This window comes from Homo sapiens, chromosome 10 (assembly GCF_000001405.40).
Source record: "Homo sapiens chromosome 10, GRCh38.p14 Primary Assembly".
In the NCBI taxonomy this organism is placed as follows: domain Eukaryota; kingdom Metazoa; phylum Chordata; class Mammalia; order Primates; family Hominidae; genus Homo; species Homo sapiens.
In genome coordinates this window covers 23,030,248-23,044,476 of record NC_000010.11, presented here as the reverse complement: position 1 = coordinate 23,044,476, position 14,229 = coordinate 23,030,248, and the positions used below count along the sequence as shown (strand labels likewise).

Genomic DNA, 14,229 nt, shown 5'->3' with positions numbered 1-14,229 from the left:
CCTTTGTGCTCTATGAACTGCACTGTTACTGCTGTAAAATTGAGACATTGAGGTCTCCCAGTTTGTGAACTATTCTTTTGTGTGCAGGATAAACTCTTAACATTCTAACTGGATCTGATTTTATTTTTGACGTTATGTTCAGTACTGTACATGGACTTATTTACTTCTGAGAGCAACCTTATGAAGTGGTTACTATTATTACATCCCCATTTTAGAGATGTAGAAACCAAGACATTTGCTAAAGATCCCACAGCTAAGAATGGTTTAAGTAGGACACTCCAACCCGAGCCTCTCTGACTCCAAGGATCTGCATGCTTCTAACCATGATATCACATACATGTGCATTAAGAAAACAGCAACCCCAGGCAGTAAGCATATGAAAAAATGCAAAATGAGTGCCAAAGATGCTATGAGAGAAGGTCACCAGTAGAGCATAAGGCATCAGGGGAAGCTTAGGGAGGAAAGTGAGGCTTGATCTGAATTTGGACTTGAACCTGTAGACAAAAGATTAGTAGGGCAATGTAGTATGATATAGCTGATAACCACCATACTTCTTTACAAATATTCCTTTGGGGTTGCCAGAAAAGAAAGTTGGCCTTGATGACTTATGAGGCCCATCTATTGTGACCTTTTTAATGTAATTATAAATAATATACATATATAATAAGCTTTTATATATCTGTATAAAACATGTGAATATCTATATTTATACATATTATAGGGATACTGGCTAGGGTAAGTTCACATATCCTTGTATGAATCGTCTCTATTTTACAGATGAGAGATTCCATAAAGACTGTTAAGAATTGATGAAGCTATTGGGAGATAATGCTCCATGGGTCTCCCTCGTTCTGCACATCTTCCTGATTGACTTTTGTTCCAGACTATCTTTTCAAGGGTGTTGGTGAATAGCCTTGGCAAATAATATAGTGTCTCTCTTGCTGCTCATTATACTCATTTTTTTTTTTTTGAGACAGTTTCACTCTTGTTGCCCAGGCTGGAGTGCAATGGCGCCATCTCAGCTCACTGCAACCTCCACCTCCCAGGTTCAAGCAATTCTCCTGCCTCAGCCTCCTGAGTAGCTGGGGTTACAGGCATGCGCCACCATGGCCAGCTAATTTTGTATTTTTAGTAGAGATGGGGTTTCTTCATGTTGGTCAGGCTGATCTCGAACTTTCAACCTCAGATGATCCACCCATCTCAGCCTCCCAAAGTGCTGGGATTATAGGTGTGAGCCACTGCGCCTGGCCCTTGCTGCTCACTATAAAGGATTTGGGTTCTCTAAGCTCAGAGTTCTTCTGTAACACAAACCACTGCATTGATAGGCATCCATCTGGGTCTATCCATGTTTTCCCCATGAGACTTGGGAGCAAGGAGATTTGACACAAATAGCCTGGCTCATGCTGCTTGCTTTGCTGTGAGTAATAAAATCCTTTGTCTCTGATCCAGATATCTCATGTCTTATTCCAGCAACAATAAAATTGGCAGTTAGCTTGCAAGTAGGATAAAATCTCAGACCCTTCACAGTTCTTAACAAAAGTATAGAAGATAGGAGGTTTATTTTCTTATGTAGATTGGTCAAATCTGTCCTCATCCTATTGAAAAATAAGGCATCTGTGTTGGCATCCATTGGAATAACATCAAGCAGATCCATCTTAGAGCCCAGAGAAACCAGGAAAGGCAAATGCCAGGGTGGGAGTCTCCCCTGAATACTTAGCTAAGGTGCCCAGGGATTATACTAAGTAAACTGAAGCCTTTCCATGTCCTTATCCTCAAAGTGCTCATCATCTAAAGCAAGGGTTGACCAACTATGGTCCGTGAGCCAATCTGGCCCCCCACCTGTTTTAGTAGATACAGTTTCATTGGTTAGGTATTATCTATGCTGCTTTTGTGCTGCAATAGCAGAGTTGAGTGGCTGCAGTAGAGATGGAATAGCCTGCAAAACCTGAAATATTTACTCTCTGGCCCTACAGAGGGATCTCAAGAGAGAGACAAATGCTTGAAGAATGAGGAATTCCCTTAAAACATGCTAAAGGCAAACAGAACATCATGTGTGCATAGAATAGAGAGCTACACACACACACACACACACACACACACACACACGCACTCACATATACAAATGCATATGCCATCCCCCACCTGTCATTTATATGCATGGTCTTATTTCACCCTCACAACAGCTTTATGAGACATATAGGTTGGAAGCATGGCCTCTGAAGCCAAACTGTGTTTAAATTGAAAGCTTTGCCGCTTACTAGCTGGACAATCTTGGGCAAATTACTTAACCTCTCTGTGCCTGGGTTTTCTCACTTGTTAACTGTGGGTAGTCCTACCTATGCATCACAGGATTACTCCAAGAGTTGAAACTACAAAGAACAGCCTCTGGCACATCGTAAACAATATATAAATATTTGCTATTATTTTTCCTTACTTTCCAGAAGACTAACTGAGGGAGATAGAGGTTAAGTAATTCTCTCAAGGTCACACGGCTAGAAAAAGTGAGAGACAGAACTTGATCTCAGCTCTGATTCTAAAGAGGTGCTATTATATTGCTTCTCAATAATAAAGACATTGAATTTTTTAATCCCTGCTATTATTTTAATTCTCAATAATAAAGGCTTATTGAATTTATAAGTAAAATCACCACAAGAAAATTTCTTTACCTTTTCCAACAATGCTTTTTATTTTTTAAATTGTGATTTGTGGTTTATTTATTGGTAGATCCTACAGGTCTCTTGTACTGTGTGAGTTCCACAAGAACTTTATTTGAATTCACTATATTAATATAGTCCCACCTGACACCTTGATGATTGTCCTTGGAAATGAAGTCCACTTTTATTATTAAACTAATTATATTCATGGCTTTAAAATGATAAACCTAAGCAAAGCTTTTGCTAGTGATCTATATAATACTACTCAGGTAATTTTAAATAAAGAATAGGACTTTTAAATATTAATCCCTAAATAAGTGACTTGACACTATGTATTGTTCCTAGAATATACCAAGAACAGTGATATTTTTCCATATAGTGTTTAGTAAGTTCATCCTACCCCCGTATTCAGTTGAGTTTAAAAACAAACAGTGGCAGGGTGTGGTGGCTCACGCCTGTAATCCCAGCGCTTTGGGAGGCCGGGGTGGGTGGATCACCTGAGGTCAGGAGTTTGAGACCAGCCTGGCCAACATGGCAAAACCCCATCTCTACTAAAAATATAAAAATTAGCTGGGTGTGGTGGCAGACGCCTGTAATCCCAGCTACTCGAGAGGCTGAGGCAGGAGAATAGCTTGAACCCGGGAGATGGAGGTTGCAGTGAACCGAGATGGCACCACTGCACTCCAGCCTGGGCAACAGAGTGAGACTCTGTCTCAAAAAACAAACAAACAAACAAAAAAAGAGCATGTAAATACAGCCTCTCTCTAGATAGTTCTAAGGAAAAATGCACCATCTCTTGAAACCCCATTCCTCATCTCCAGATTGCCAGCTCTGGCAGGGGAATACTGTAAGAGATATCTTGCTGAGAAACAAGTTACTTGCCATTAAAAGTAATGACAAAAACCATAATTACTTATGAGATGGGAGGATCACCTGAGCCCTGGGAGGTCGAGGCTGCAGTGAGTTATGACTGTGCCACTGCATTCCAGCCTGCGTGACAGAGTGACCCTGCCTCAAAAAATAATAATCCATTCGATTTTACATGTTATTTTGAGCTTCTGGAAAAGTATTTTTCATGGATGAAGTTCTGCTTCTTTGGCAAGGAAATAATACATTTGATGTGTACTTATTAAAAGTATTAAACACATTTGATGTGTACTTACGAAAAGCACAGTGCAAACTTCAATTCTCATTTATGATGCTTGCTTAAAGATCAAAGCTTGTGAAACGGATTTTATTTAACTGTCCATTTTCCATTTAATTAACAGCTATTTTTAAAAGTTAGTTATTAATTTTAATGAAATGTTTTGATCTCCAGAAGTAAAACTCTGGATTTTGGATCTGACAGAACAACTACAAGTTACTTTATATAAATTGTCTTGAAATGTCACAACCACAACAGTTGCCAGGGTTTTAAGGGACACCCAGGATTCTGACTAAAATCTCTATAGTTTCAGATATTACCCCATATGGTTTGGGTCTAGTTCTGACCAAATTGCACATTATTCCAGGCCAAAGCATATAATTCCTGAAGGATATCCTTAGCACTTTTCCCTCTCGCTGTAGCAACTGAGGAGATCTTGTATTCCAGATGCTGCAGGTACAAAATGGAGGAACTTCTGTCAGCCTGGGTTCTTGAATGACTGTGTGGAACCGAGCTCCCACTATTGACCTATGTTTGATATGTAATGTGATAAAAGACCTAAGCCACTGAGATCTGAGGATTATTACCCCTATAGAAAAGTGTTGCCAACTCTGTTTATTTTCCAAGTGTATTGTCTTTTTCTTATTGATTTTTAGAAGATCTTTGCTTATTGAGAATGTTAACATTTTGCTTGTTAAATATGCTGTTTTTTTTTCTCCCTGTCAATAATTTTGCTTACAGTGTATTTTGCTGACAGGAATTTAAGAGTTTTATGTAGCCAAACTTGTCATATATGTTCTTTTATGACTTCTAGTTTTTCTGGCATAAATAGAATCTCCCTTCTCAAGATTATAATTTTCCCCAAACCAGTTACCGAATAGGCTATCATTTTTCCACTGGGCAAAAAAGCTACTTTTAACAATGCTAAATCCTACCTATATGTATGGATTTGTGTCTGGAGTCTTAATTTTTTTTAATTTTTATGCCTGTACCATCCTAAATTTGCTTTTTATTGCTTTTTAATACATGTTCTAATAAGTGAGACAATTCCTCTGTATTTTTCTATTTCAAAATATTCTTAGTTTTTATACACATTTATTCTTCTAAATACATTTTGCTGTTTGTCAATTTCAGAAAAAAAAGAAATGTGTTGGGATTCTAATAGAAATTATACTAATTTTAGATTTTAATATGGGGGACTGAAATCTTTTTACTACTGAATTTCCCATCAAAGAGCGTGCTGTTCCTGGAAAGGACATCTCCATTTATTCAAGTCTCATTAAAATTCTGTAGTTTTTCTTGCATAGTTCTTGTTAAATTTATTTCTATGTATTTTATAACTTTTGTTGCCATTGCAAATGTATTGTCTTTGTATAATTGGCTGATTATTAAATTTTATGGCTCTACATTTAAACCAAGTAAATCAGAAGAAATGAACTTTGAAAACCTGTATGAGAATTAAATTTAAACTATCTCTGTTCAGTAATTATCTAGAAACTAGTTGAAAGAGACATTGTACAGAATTGTCTCAAAGATTAAAAAAAAAAATCTTTGGCATGCACCAGATTTTAAAAAGTGGTGTATACCCGGGCCCTATCCTAGTAGCTCTGCATAGAACATTTGCCTAATTCCACTTTGATGTTGGGGCCTTGGCCTGTGAAACTTCTTTTCAGAACTTACCAGGAGGTTGGTTTTTGACGATGTTATTTTCTAGGTTACATTTTGCCATCTCTATGAATCTACCAAAGAGAAATTCCCCTGATATTTGTTCCACCTGAGAAACTGGTCTGTGCTTTTATCTAGCAGATCCTAGTGTAAATCCCATAATGGATAAATAACATTTCCCCTCACACTGGCTGCCAGTGAGTATAGAGTCAAATTTCCATTCATCTCTAACAAATGCACTGCATTTTATTGAATTCTAATCTTTGGATCCAAATCTTATTCCTGCTTTGTTGGACTTTTCTACACTTACGCCTGCATTTCATTTATTTTCTTTTTCCTTCTTATATCCCATGGATCTTTGTAATCCACTTTAAATACTTTCTGGATCAAAACAGACTTTAAAATGCAGAGGAAAAACCTACAAATAGGTTTGTATCCCATAAGCCACGCTCTAATTTCATAAAATTCTATGATAAATATAATTACCACGCCATTTGAAATAAATTTATTCTGAAATAAAGAATTATATTATTTGAAATTACAAATTAATACAAAATAATCTTAGCTTTAATTTCTAAAATCAAATTCACTTTAAAACGTCTTCTAGGAAAATGACTATACAGGTCAACACTGGACTTTAAGCGTGACTAGGCAATATGTACTTCACGAGATTAACCACATTAGTAGTTTTTGTCTTATCATTTGAAATGTGAATTTACTCCCCATTTTGTGCTCAATACTAAAACACAATTCCTCAGCAAAGATTTGCTCTACCTTTATGCTTCAAAGTTTTCCAAAAAATAAAAATTTTTTAGTTCTATAAATTGAAAATAATATATTAATGGCCCAGCATTAAAATGTGGAAGAGCAAATCAGAATTGTTTTTAGCTGAAGGTATGTTTCCAAGCTAACACAGACAAGATGAAACCAAAACCATTTTATGGAAATATACTTTAGAAATATTTTTAATTCACTATATTAAAGTGTTTTTAATGATGAATTTTTAAAAATAGAAACAAAAATTTTTAGAAAGGAATTTGTAACACTCAGATCTGTGTTTATTCTATCTAAACTATCAAAATCTTAAATGAAACTGAGACAAGGTGATTGCAAATACTAAAAATTCACTTAGTTTGCTTAACTGAGCATGCCTGAAGCATTCTGGGCATGAAAGATGACAGTCATGAGGCCACAGTGTTGTCCTGGGTGCAGCAGCTGAGTGCTACATGTGATTCCTAAATGACAGAGACGCTCCTCAGGACACAGTGGGCTGGATGAATTTCGACAACAATCAGCTTTATGTGAGGGTCAGTGAGCGGAAAATGACCTAATAAGACAGAACTCTTGCCAAAAGCCTGAAATCAGAAGCACAGCAAAGTTCACTCCAAGCTTCCTAATTTCTACGCAGAGAAAACATTTCTAATACTTTTATTTAAAGTTTTTATTTAAAGAGATAAAATCAATTTGGAGAATGTCTTAGAGAGTGTACACAGTGAATTTCTTGTTTGAGCCTCTCTTGTGTTCGTCTGATGGCTTAAATGAATCTGTAAAGATCAGCCTCTCGACTTCTCAACTTCATCAGTCCACCTGGATGGAACATGAGGTCAATCACGTACATCTCAGGAGCGGGGAGGCCCCCAATCACTCCCTTCCGAGAGTCATTCTGCAGCATGACTTCATTCCACGCTCTACCGTACTCTCCGCGAACTAGGGAGCAACCAATGCCAATTCTATCAGCCAGAGCCTGCAGGAGAAAACAAGAGATCAACCAAGGGTGGTGCGGGAGAGGGGTGGGGAATATCCTATTTGTAATTGCACACCTTGATTGAAGGTGAAATACACAAGTCTTGCAAAGAAATGTTTAGATAGGAGGCTGAAAGATGTGGACTATTGGTATAGGGGCCAATCAAATGTGATAAATTCACTCAAGATTCTGTAGATGCAAAATCTCTGTGTAGGTCCTGCTGGGAAGTCACCTTTTTCAGGTAGTAACACTATTGTATCAGATGGCGAGGGTGATTGGAAAAAAGCTATTCTGTGCACTCTTTGCACTAGTGCATCTATCCATCTTTCCAAACTTCTGGGCTCTCCCTGGCTGTGAAATGCAGTGGGACTGAATGGAGGCATCACCCTGGGGCGGGGGCTCTTTCCAGCTAAACTATTCTGCGTGCCATGGGGCAGGAGAGGCAGAACTGTGGGTGCCTGGTCCTAGGGCTCCTTGCTGCCACCTCACCAGAGACTACGTTGGTTCCTTGGAAACTGTCTCTTGAATTTGCCCTCTGATGATTCCTGATTTTGAGGTTATTAAAACAAAGTATCTCTAATCTGGAGACTACTCAGCCACTTTATAGTGAACAGGAGAGCTGGCTTAGCCTGCCTGGGTCTGGATTATAGCCCAGATCTGAGACCGACTAGCCGCGCACCCCAGCAAGGGACTTGGCATCTCTGGGCTTCCATGGCTTCATCTGAGAAATGAGGGGAGCAACAGTACTTTCTTCATAAGGTATTAGGAAGATGAAGTCAATTATCTGTCCAGTGCTTAAAGCAGCGAACACCAGCAAGGCTACATACTCAGTTAATACTACATAGCACCAGAAGGCAGGAATTGTGTTGTTTTAGAACCCTGTATATGTATATATTAATTTATTTATTACTGACAATATAATGACTGCACCAGGTCACTGTGTCTTGGGTGGACCATGATGATTAAGACATGGTTATCATTTTTAGAGCCTTACATTCTACATAGACCTACTGGTAAAGAATCAACTATAACACAAATAGTATCTGAATGTATGGCACTCATAGTTCAGTGGGGTAGAGAGACAAAAATAAATATATAATTATAAGATGTTTCCAAAAGTAACACTCCGTGTCAAAGCCTTGTAAATCATCAAAACAACCAACCCTGTGGAATAGATGCTATTGTTTTCCCCGTTTTATAGAGGGTAAAACTGAGGTCGCATAATTTTCCTAAGGTCATGGTATGTGGTGACGGAAAGTGAGAGCGAGGGCATCTGTCTCTGGAGTCTGAGTTTTTAATGTCAGGGTAATAACTGCTGCTGACTGAGGTGAAGGAATTCCCATCTGAAACTCCCTGTTTTCTTTGTGAAGTGGGACACAAGGTCACCTGCTTAGAGGGGAGCAGTGCAGATGGAAGGGCTTGGCAAAGGGCAGATGTGGGGCCCAGTAGCTGAAGGAAATAGGAAAAAGCCTGCCACTAGGAGCTGGGAAAGGGTGGCCTATAGAGGAGTGGCCTGTAGGTGGTGTGTATGAGTGAAAAGACAGGCAATCAGAACAAGGCCTGGTTGACAAGGCAGAGGGGGAAGGATGGGAGGAGAGGGAATGGGGGAAATTAGTGAGTGAGTGAATTATTAGGGCTGTGGTATATTTGTCTATCCTGCCTAGGGAAGAAAGTAAAGCCAAACAGGCCAAAAAACTGGAAGAAAATAAGGGAGATAAAGAGTATATATAGAAGGGCTGAAGGATATAGGAGGAGGGGAAGGATAAGATATTTTACCAGTGAGTATTGGTGTTCAGAATTTCAGTGGTGGGAGATTTCTGGGTAATTAATTGCATGACTCAGTTGAGATGTGAGGGTAATTCTGTTTGGCATAATGAGCTTAAGATGCCTGCTATGAACTGAATGTTTGTGTACTCCCCCAAATTCATATGTTGAAGCCCTAATCCCTAATGTGATGGCATTTGGAGGTGGGGGTCTTTGGAAGGAGATTAGGTTTAGATGAGGTCATGAGGGTAGACCCCACGATGGGATTAGTGTCCCTATAATAAGAGACAGGAGAGCATGCTTGCTCTCCACCATGTGAGGATACAATTGGAGCCTTTTCTCTGCCATTTGAGGATACAGCAAGAAGGTGGCTGTCTGCAAACCAGGAAGGGAGCCCTCAGTAGACACTGAATCTGCTGGCACTCTGATCTTGGACTTCCCAGCCTCCAGAACTATGAGAAATAAATAAATGCTGTTTAATCTTCCAGTCTATGGTATTTTGTTATAGCAGCTCAACTTGACAAATACAGTGCCTATGAGACACTCATATAGAGCTAGCTGGCTACTAATCACATACATAGATCTGGAATCAGGGGAGGTTTGAAGGATGAAGGAAATAATCTGTAGATTTTAGGTATTTAGGTACTATTTAAGGCCATATGAAGGAAAACCTCACCCTGCAAAGTACATAAAGGGAGAACAGAAGAGTGTCTGGGTCAGAACCTTGAGGAACCCCAATATTTAAGAGAGACCTGGAGGTGTTCTCCAATTCTTTGACCTGTTAAGAAAGGCAGACAATAGGGAGATCACTAACGTCCTTATTGAGAGAGTGGGAGCGAAAGCCAGATGGCCGTGAGTTAGGACAAAAATGAGAGGTGTGCCAAAGAATGACAAGGAGCTAAGATGACTCAGAATTTTGACCAGGAATGGGAATTATCTATATGGGTAGAAGCAGTGTGGTAGGTCTTTTATTCAGGTAGGCGTGGGCTCAAATTTCAGCTCCATCTATGGTTGACCTTGGGTAAAATTATTTCTCCAGGTATCAGTTTGCTCACCTTTAAATCAAGGGTAGTCATTTCTATATTTGGCATTTTTGAAACTCTTCACAATTATAGTTATCAAGTCCCTGGCATATAGTTCAAAATGATGTTAGTCATGGTAATAGGATTTAAGGTAGTAATTGTAGCTATTATGATAAAAGCTTTATATTTTCTCTTTATATACTGCAGAGTTAAGCATGTTTAGATTTTAAAGGGGAAAATAGCTAAGAGAGAGAAGAGAGTTAAGACAGGAGAGAAGGAAGAATTGATAGAGCAGGCAATCCAAGGGAATAGGAAAGGGAATAGGAAATCCAAGGGAATAGGAAAGGGAATAGGAAATCCAAGGGAATAGGAAAGGGAATAGGAAAGATAATAGAATTCGCTTGGAACTGGAGGTAAGCTGCATGTGAATGCAATGATGTTTATAAGTGTTTGGGAAAGGGTAGGGAATTTATGCATTTAGTCTATAGTTCACATTTTCCCAGCTTCTGTTATATGCCAGACACTGGATATGATGGAGCAAAAGATCACCCCCTCTCTTCAACCTGATCCTTCTGTGATGTCCCCATTTCAGGGAATAATGCCATCATTACCAGCTGCCCCACTCAAAGCCCAGAAATCGTTTTGTTCTTCTCATGTACTCTCTCGCACCACACCTAGGATTTAGCATGGATCAACCACACTTCTTGCTCAGTCACCTTCTAACTGGTTTTCCTGTCTCTAGTCTTGCCCCTGCTCTAATTCATTCCCCATCTGTTGCCTGAACAGTGGTTCAAAATGATGTTACCCTCTTGAAAACTTTCAATGGCTACTGTTATATTTTAGGGTAATAAAATAATGCCCAAACTTACATGATGCGTTATGATCTAGCATTCGCCCCTCCTCTTTTCCTCATGCACACAAACTATTCTACCCTTCCTCAGATAGATCACTGATTCTCATACCTGTATTATTTTGCATAAGATGTTTTCTCTGTTTAGTATACGCTTGTTTTCCTTCTTTACTTGATAAACCCTGTGCAGCCTCTCATACCTGGGTTATATATCAGCTCTTTCTCTGGAATTTTCCCTGACTTCACTTTGGAAGCTGCAAGTCTGGTTTAGGTACCCCTTGAGTGTAGGGACTGTCATTTTAGTATCTCTGTACTCTCAGGCCCTAGCAGAGGCCCTCGCCATAGTAGGTGTATGGTCACTATTGAATAAATATGCTTCTAGTAGTCTGTTGACTATATAGGCAGGTATGTGTGTATATGCATGTTTATATTCATATATATATATGTGTATGCTTGTATATAAGTATATATACACTTATATGTAGATATAAATAAATCTAAATGGTAGAATTAATAATATCCAGTTAAATGTTAGCAACTGGCCTACTCCAGTATGATAAAGACAAAGCATTTTTACTTAATGGCAAATGAGGCAAAATACCTTACACACCTTGAAAAGCAAAGCTCGATGGTAGAAGATTCCTTTTTTGACATGTCCAATCGGTATAACATTGGATTTAAGTTGAAATTTCAGTTCACTTATGTGAAGTTCCCAGCTGAAATCAGGTAGTTTCTCTTTTGGAATCTTACCACCCATTTTTTCTGCTACATACCTGTGTCAATTACATTGAGATCAAATCGGTCAATTTTAATAACTCGCTTAGGATGCTTTGAGTGTAATTACATGTAAATATACATGTAAAAATGACATTTGCTGTGATTTTTGTTGTGCTTTATTTTTGAGAAAGTACTAACCATAAATAGTTATGCTTACTGTAGCATAGCATGCTTACTGTATGCAAACCATCATATATAAACTGAAATTCTAGCAATTTCATTCAATTTGAAGGAGAAAATGAGTGCTGATTTTTCCCAATACTTATAATAAGATAAAATCAATATAACTCTAAATATCAATGCAGTTTTAAAATTTTTTCTTACTCTTGAAAAGTATTTTTAAATATTTTAATCTGAAATCCAAGGAAGGAGTTGAAGTAACATACCGTTATTCTTTCAAGGAATTTAAACTCAGAGACAAGACAAACACACAGAACATTTTCCCATTAGATTTAAGAACATTTTCAAGTTTTATATTTTTATTTTTTCTTTAAAAATTTATTTTAATTTAGAGAAAGACATGGTGTGACTTAACACTGAAGTCAGGAGCAAGGAAGAAGAGGAAGAGGCAAAAAGAAAAATAAAGTCACAGATCTGTGGGCAAGGCAGGATAAATGTGGTATACTTTGCTTGTGGATTTCTCCTAATATTAGGCTGTCACTGAAGAAGTCAGTAAACACACCTGCAATACCCTTTGTCTCTGAAGACCACTACCTTCTTGGAGTAAAGGCAGAATTGCAATTTTATTTTTTAATTTGTATTTATAAAGAGAGATGAGAGTCTCACTATATTGCCCAGGCTGGTCTCAAACTCCTGGCTTCAATACATCTTCCCATCTTGGCCTCCCAAAGCACTGGGATTACAAGCATGAGCTAGCGTGCCTGGCCCAAATTGCGAATTTTAAAGAAATTCCTCTTGCTGCATGAAAAACCAAGCAAAGAAGAACAATGATTTAAAAAAAGAAAAAAGAGAGAGAAAGAGTTGGAGAGAAAGCTGTTGAACTGACTGCAGTTCCACCAAGCCAGGGGTACTTTAGTGAATGGCAGGGAACCAGAGCCATGGGGACATATCTCTGCCTCTCTTTGTATCTTGGTGTGGCCTCAAGTTAAAAAAAGACAATTGTTTGAGAATGATGAAAAGTGTTACTGATAGGAACAAAGCATGAAGAGATTTGACAGATGTTCACATAAGCCAAGACAGAGTTCCGCTTGAGCCATCACTTCTCAAGGACATCAGGAACACTTCAGTAGCCAAAAATGTTCTCTTCCAGTTCTGGCTGACAAAGAGTCAATGATCTGGCAGCTGTGTTACTTGCAGTTGTCACATCCAGGTTTCATGATAGCAACTCACTGCTATTTGGAGGAGATGCAAGCTCCCATGGAGGCTGCAGCTGTTGCACAAGCCAGCAGCTTACCTACTGAGTGGTGTCAGTCACGAAGCCTGTCCTCACTTCTGGTGATTCCTAACCCCTTACAGCTACCAAGTCCAATTCCAGCCTTTACCTGGTGTAATTAAACACTCTAATGAAGAAGACGACTTCACTGGCTTATACAGAGCCCTGAGCCTGCCTAAGCAGCCATTGTTTAGAATGCTCACACCCCACTTAGAGTAACATGAAACACGAAATATCAGAAACAGATCAGAAAAAGAGACATTGGACATTTGTATTAGAAAATTTATCAGTTTACAAATAATTCACAGTAGGATTCCTTTAACTTATGAACACCCCATCCACCTAAGGGATGATTTAATCTTCAAACTTTTGATTCATTCATAACTTCTGCAGGATCACATTGAAAGATGCTTTTCATGGTCTAGCTGAAGAAAATGACAGGCATTTTTCTTGAAGCAATTTCCAGCTGCTATCTCTGATTCTTAGTGAACGTATGACCTAAATAGAAGTTGAGGACTTTTCCAATTCATTGTGTTTCTGTGTCAGAGTCAGAGTGCTGTAAACTTCAATTTTATTTATGGTGTATTTGTCTAAAACATGGCTAAAATGTATATGACACTAAAATTTTTTCAGAAATTAAAAACACATATATACATAGACAACTTACTTTGCCAGATCCTCAATCTGTTCCTTAATATTGGTTATTGGCAGTATTGATTTGGTCACCTCATACACATACATAGAGAAATCAGGGTCAGAGGGAGGACACCATTCTTTGTCAGAGCTTCCTTCACCAACAAATTTTGGTACCACCATAACCTCTTCCTCCTCTTTCACTTTTTCCTCTTCTTTTTTTCCTTTGCTTTTCCTTTGAAAGTAAACAAGGGCAATCAAAATCACATCTTCTGCTAAACAAACAAACAATTGCTCTTGCATTTCTGAAAAGAGCATCACAGAAAAAAGGTACAGTGAACCCTTGAGCAACATGAGATTGAACTGTGTGGATCCACTTATATGTGGATTTTTTTTCAGTAAATACAGTTGGCCCTTCTTATCCATGGGTTCCGCATTCCACAACCAAATGTGACTGAAAATACAGTATTTGTGCTATGTAAAACCCACAGAAACAGAGAGCTGACTTTTCATATATGTGGGTTCCACAGAGCTGACTGTGGGTCTAGAGTATGCATGGATTTTGGTATCTATAGGGCTTCAT

General features: G+C 38.5%; 1 protein-coding gene and 1 long non-coding RNA gene across 8 annotated transcripts in view; one reads left to right on the top strand and one right to left on the bottom strand.

The window, feature by feature from the left end:
• The window catches only part of LOC107984215 (uncharacterized), a 99,856-nt gene that overhangs the window by 50,803 nt on the left and 34,824 nt on the right, over positions 1-14,229 (top strand). The window lies entirely within an intron of this gene.
• The window catches only part of ARMC3 (armadillo repeat containing 3), a 110,471-nt gene continuing 102,195 nt past the window's right edge, over positions 5,954-14,229 (bottom strand). For all 7 annotated transcript variants that reach the window (NM_173081.5, NM_001282745.2, XM_005252380.4 and 4 more), the window contains 3 exons: positions 13,681-13,881; positions 11,454-11,616; positions 5,954-7,207 (listed from right to left, as the gene is read on the bottom strand). In NM_173081.5, the coding sequence (NP_775104.2) occupies positions 6,998-7,207; positions 11,454-11,616; positions 13,681-13,881 (574 nt within the window). In that variant the 3' untranslated portion in view covers positions 5,954-6,997. The remainder of the gene's footprint in view (positions 7,208-11,453; positions 11,617-13,680; positions 13,882-14,229) is intronic.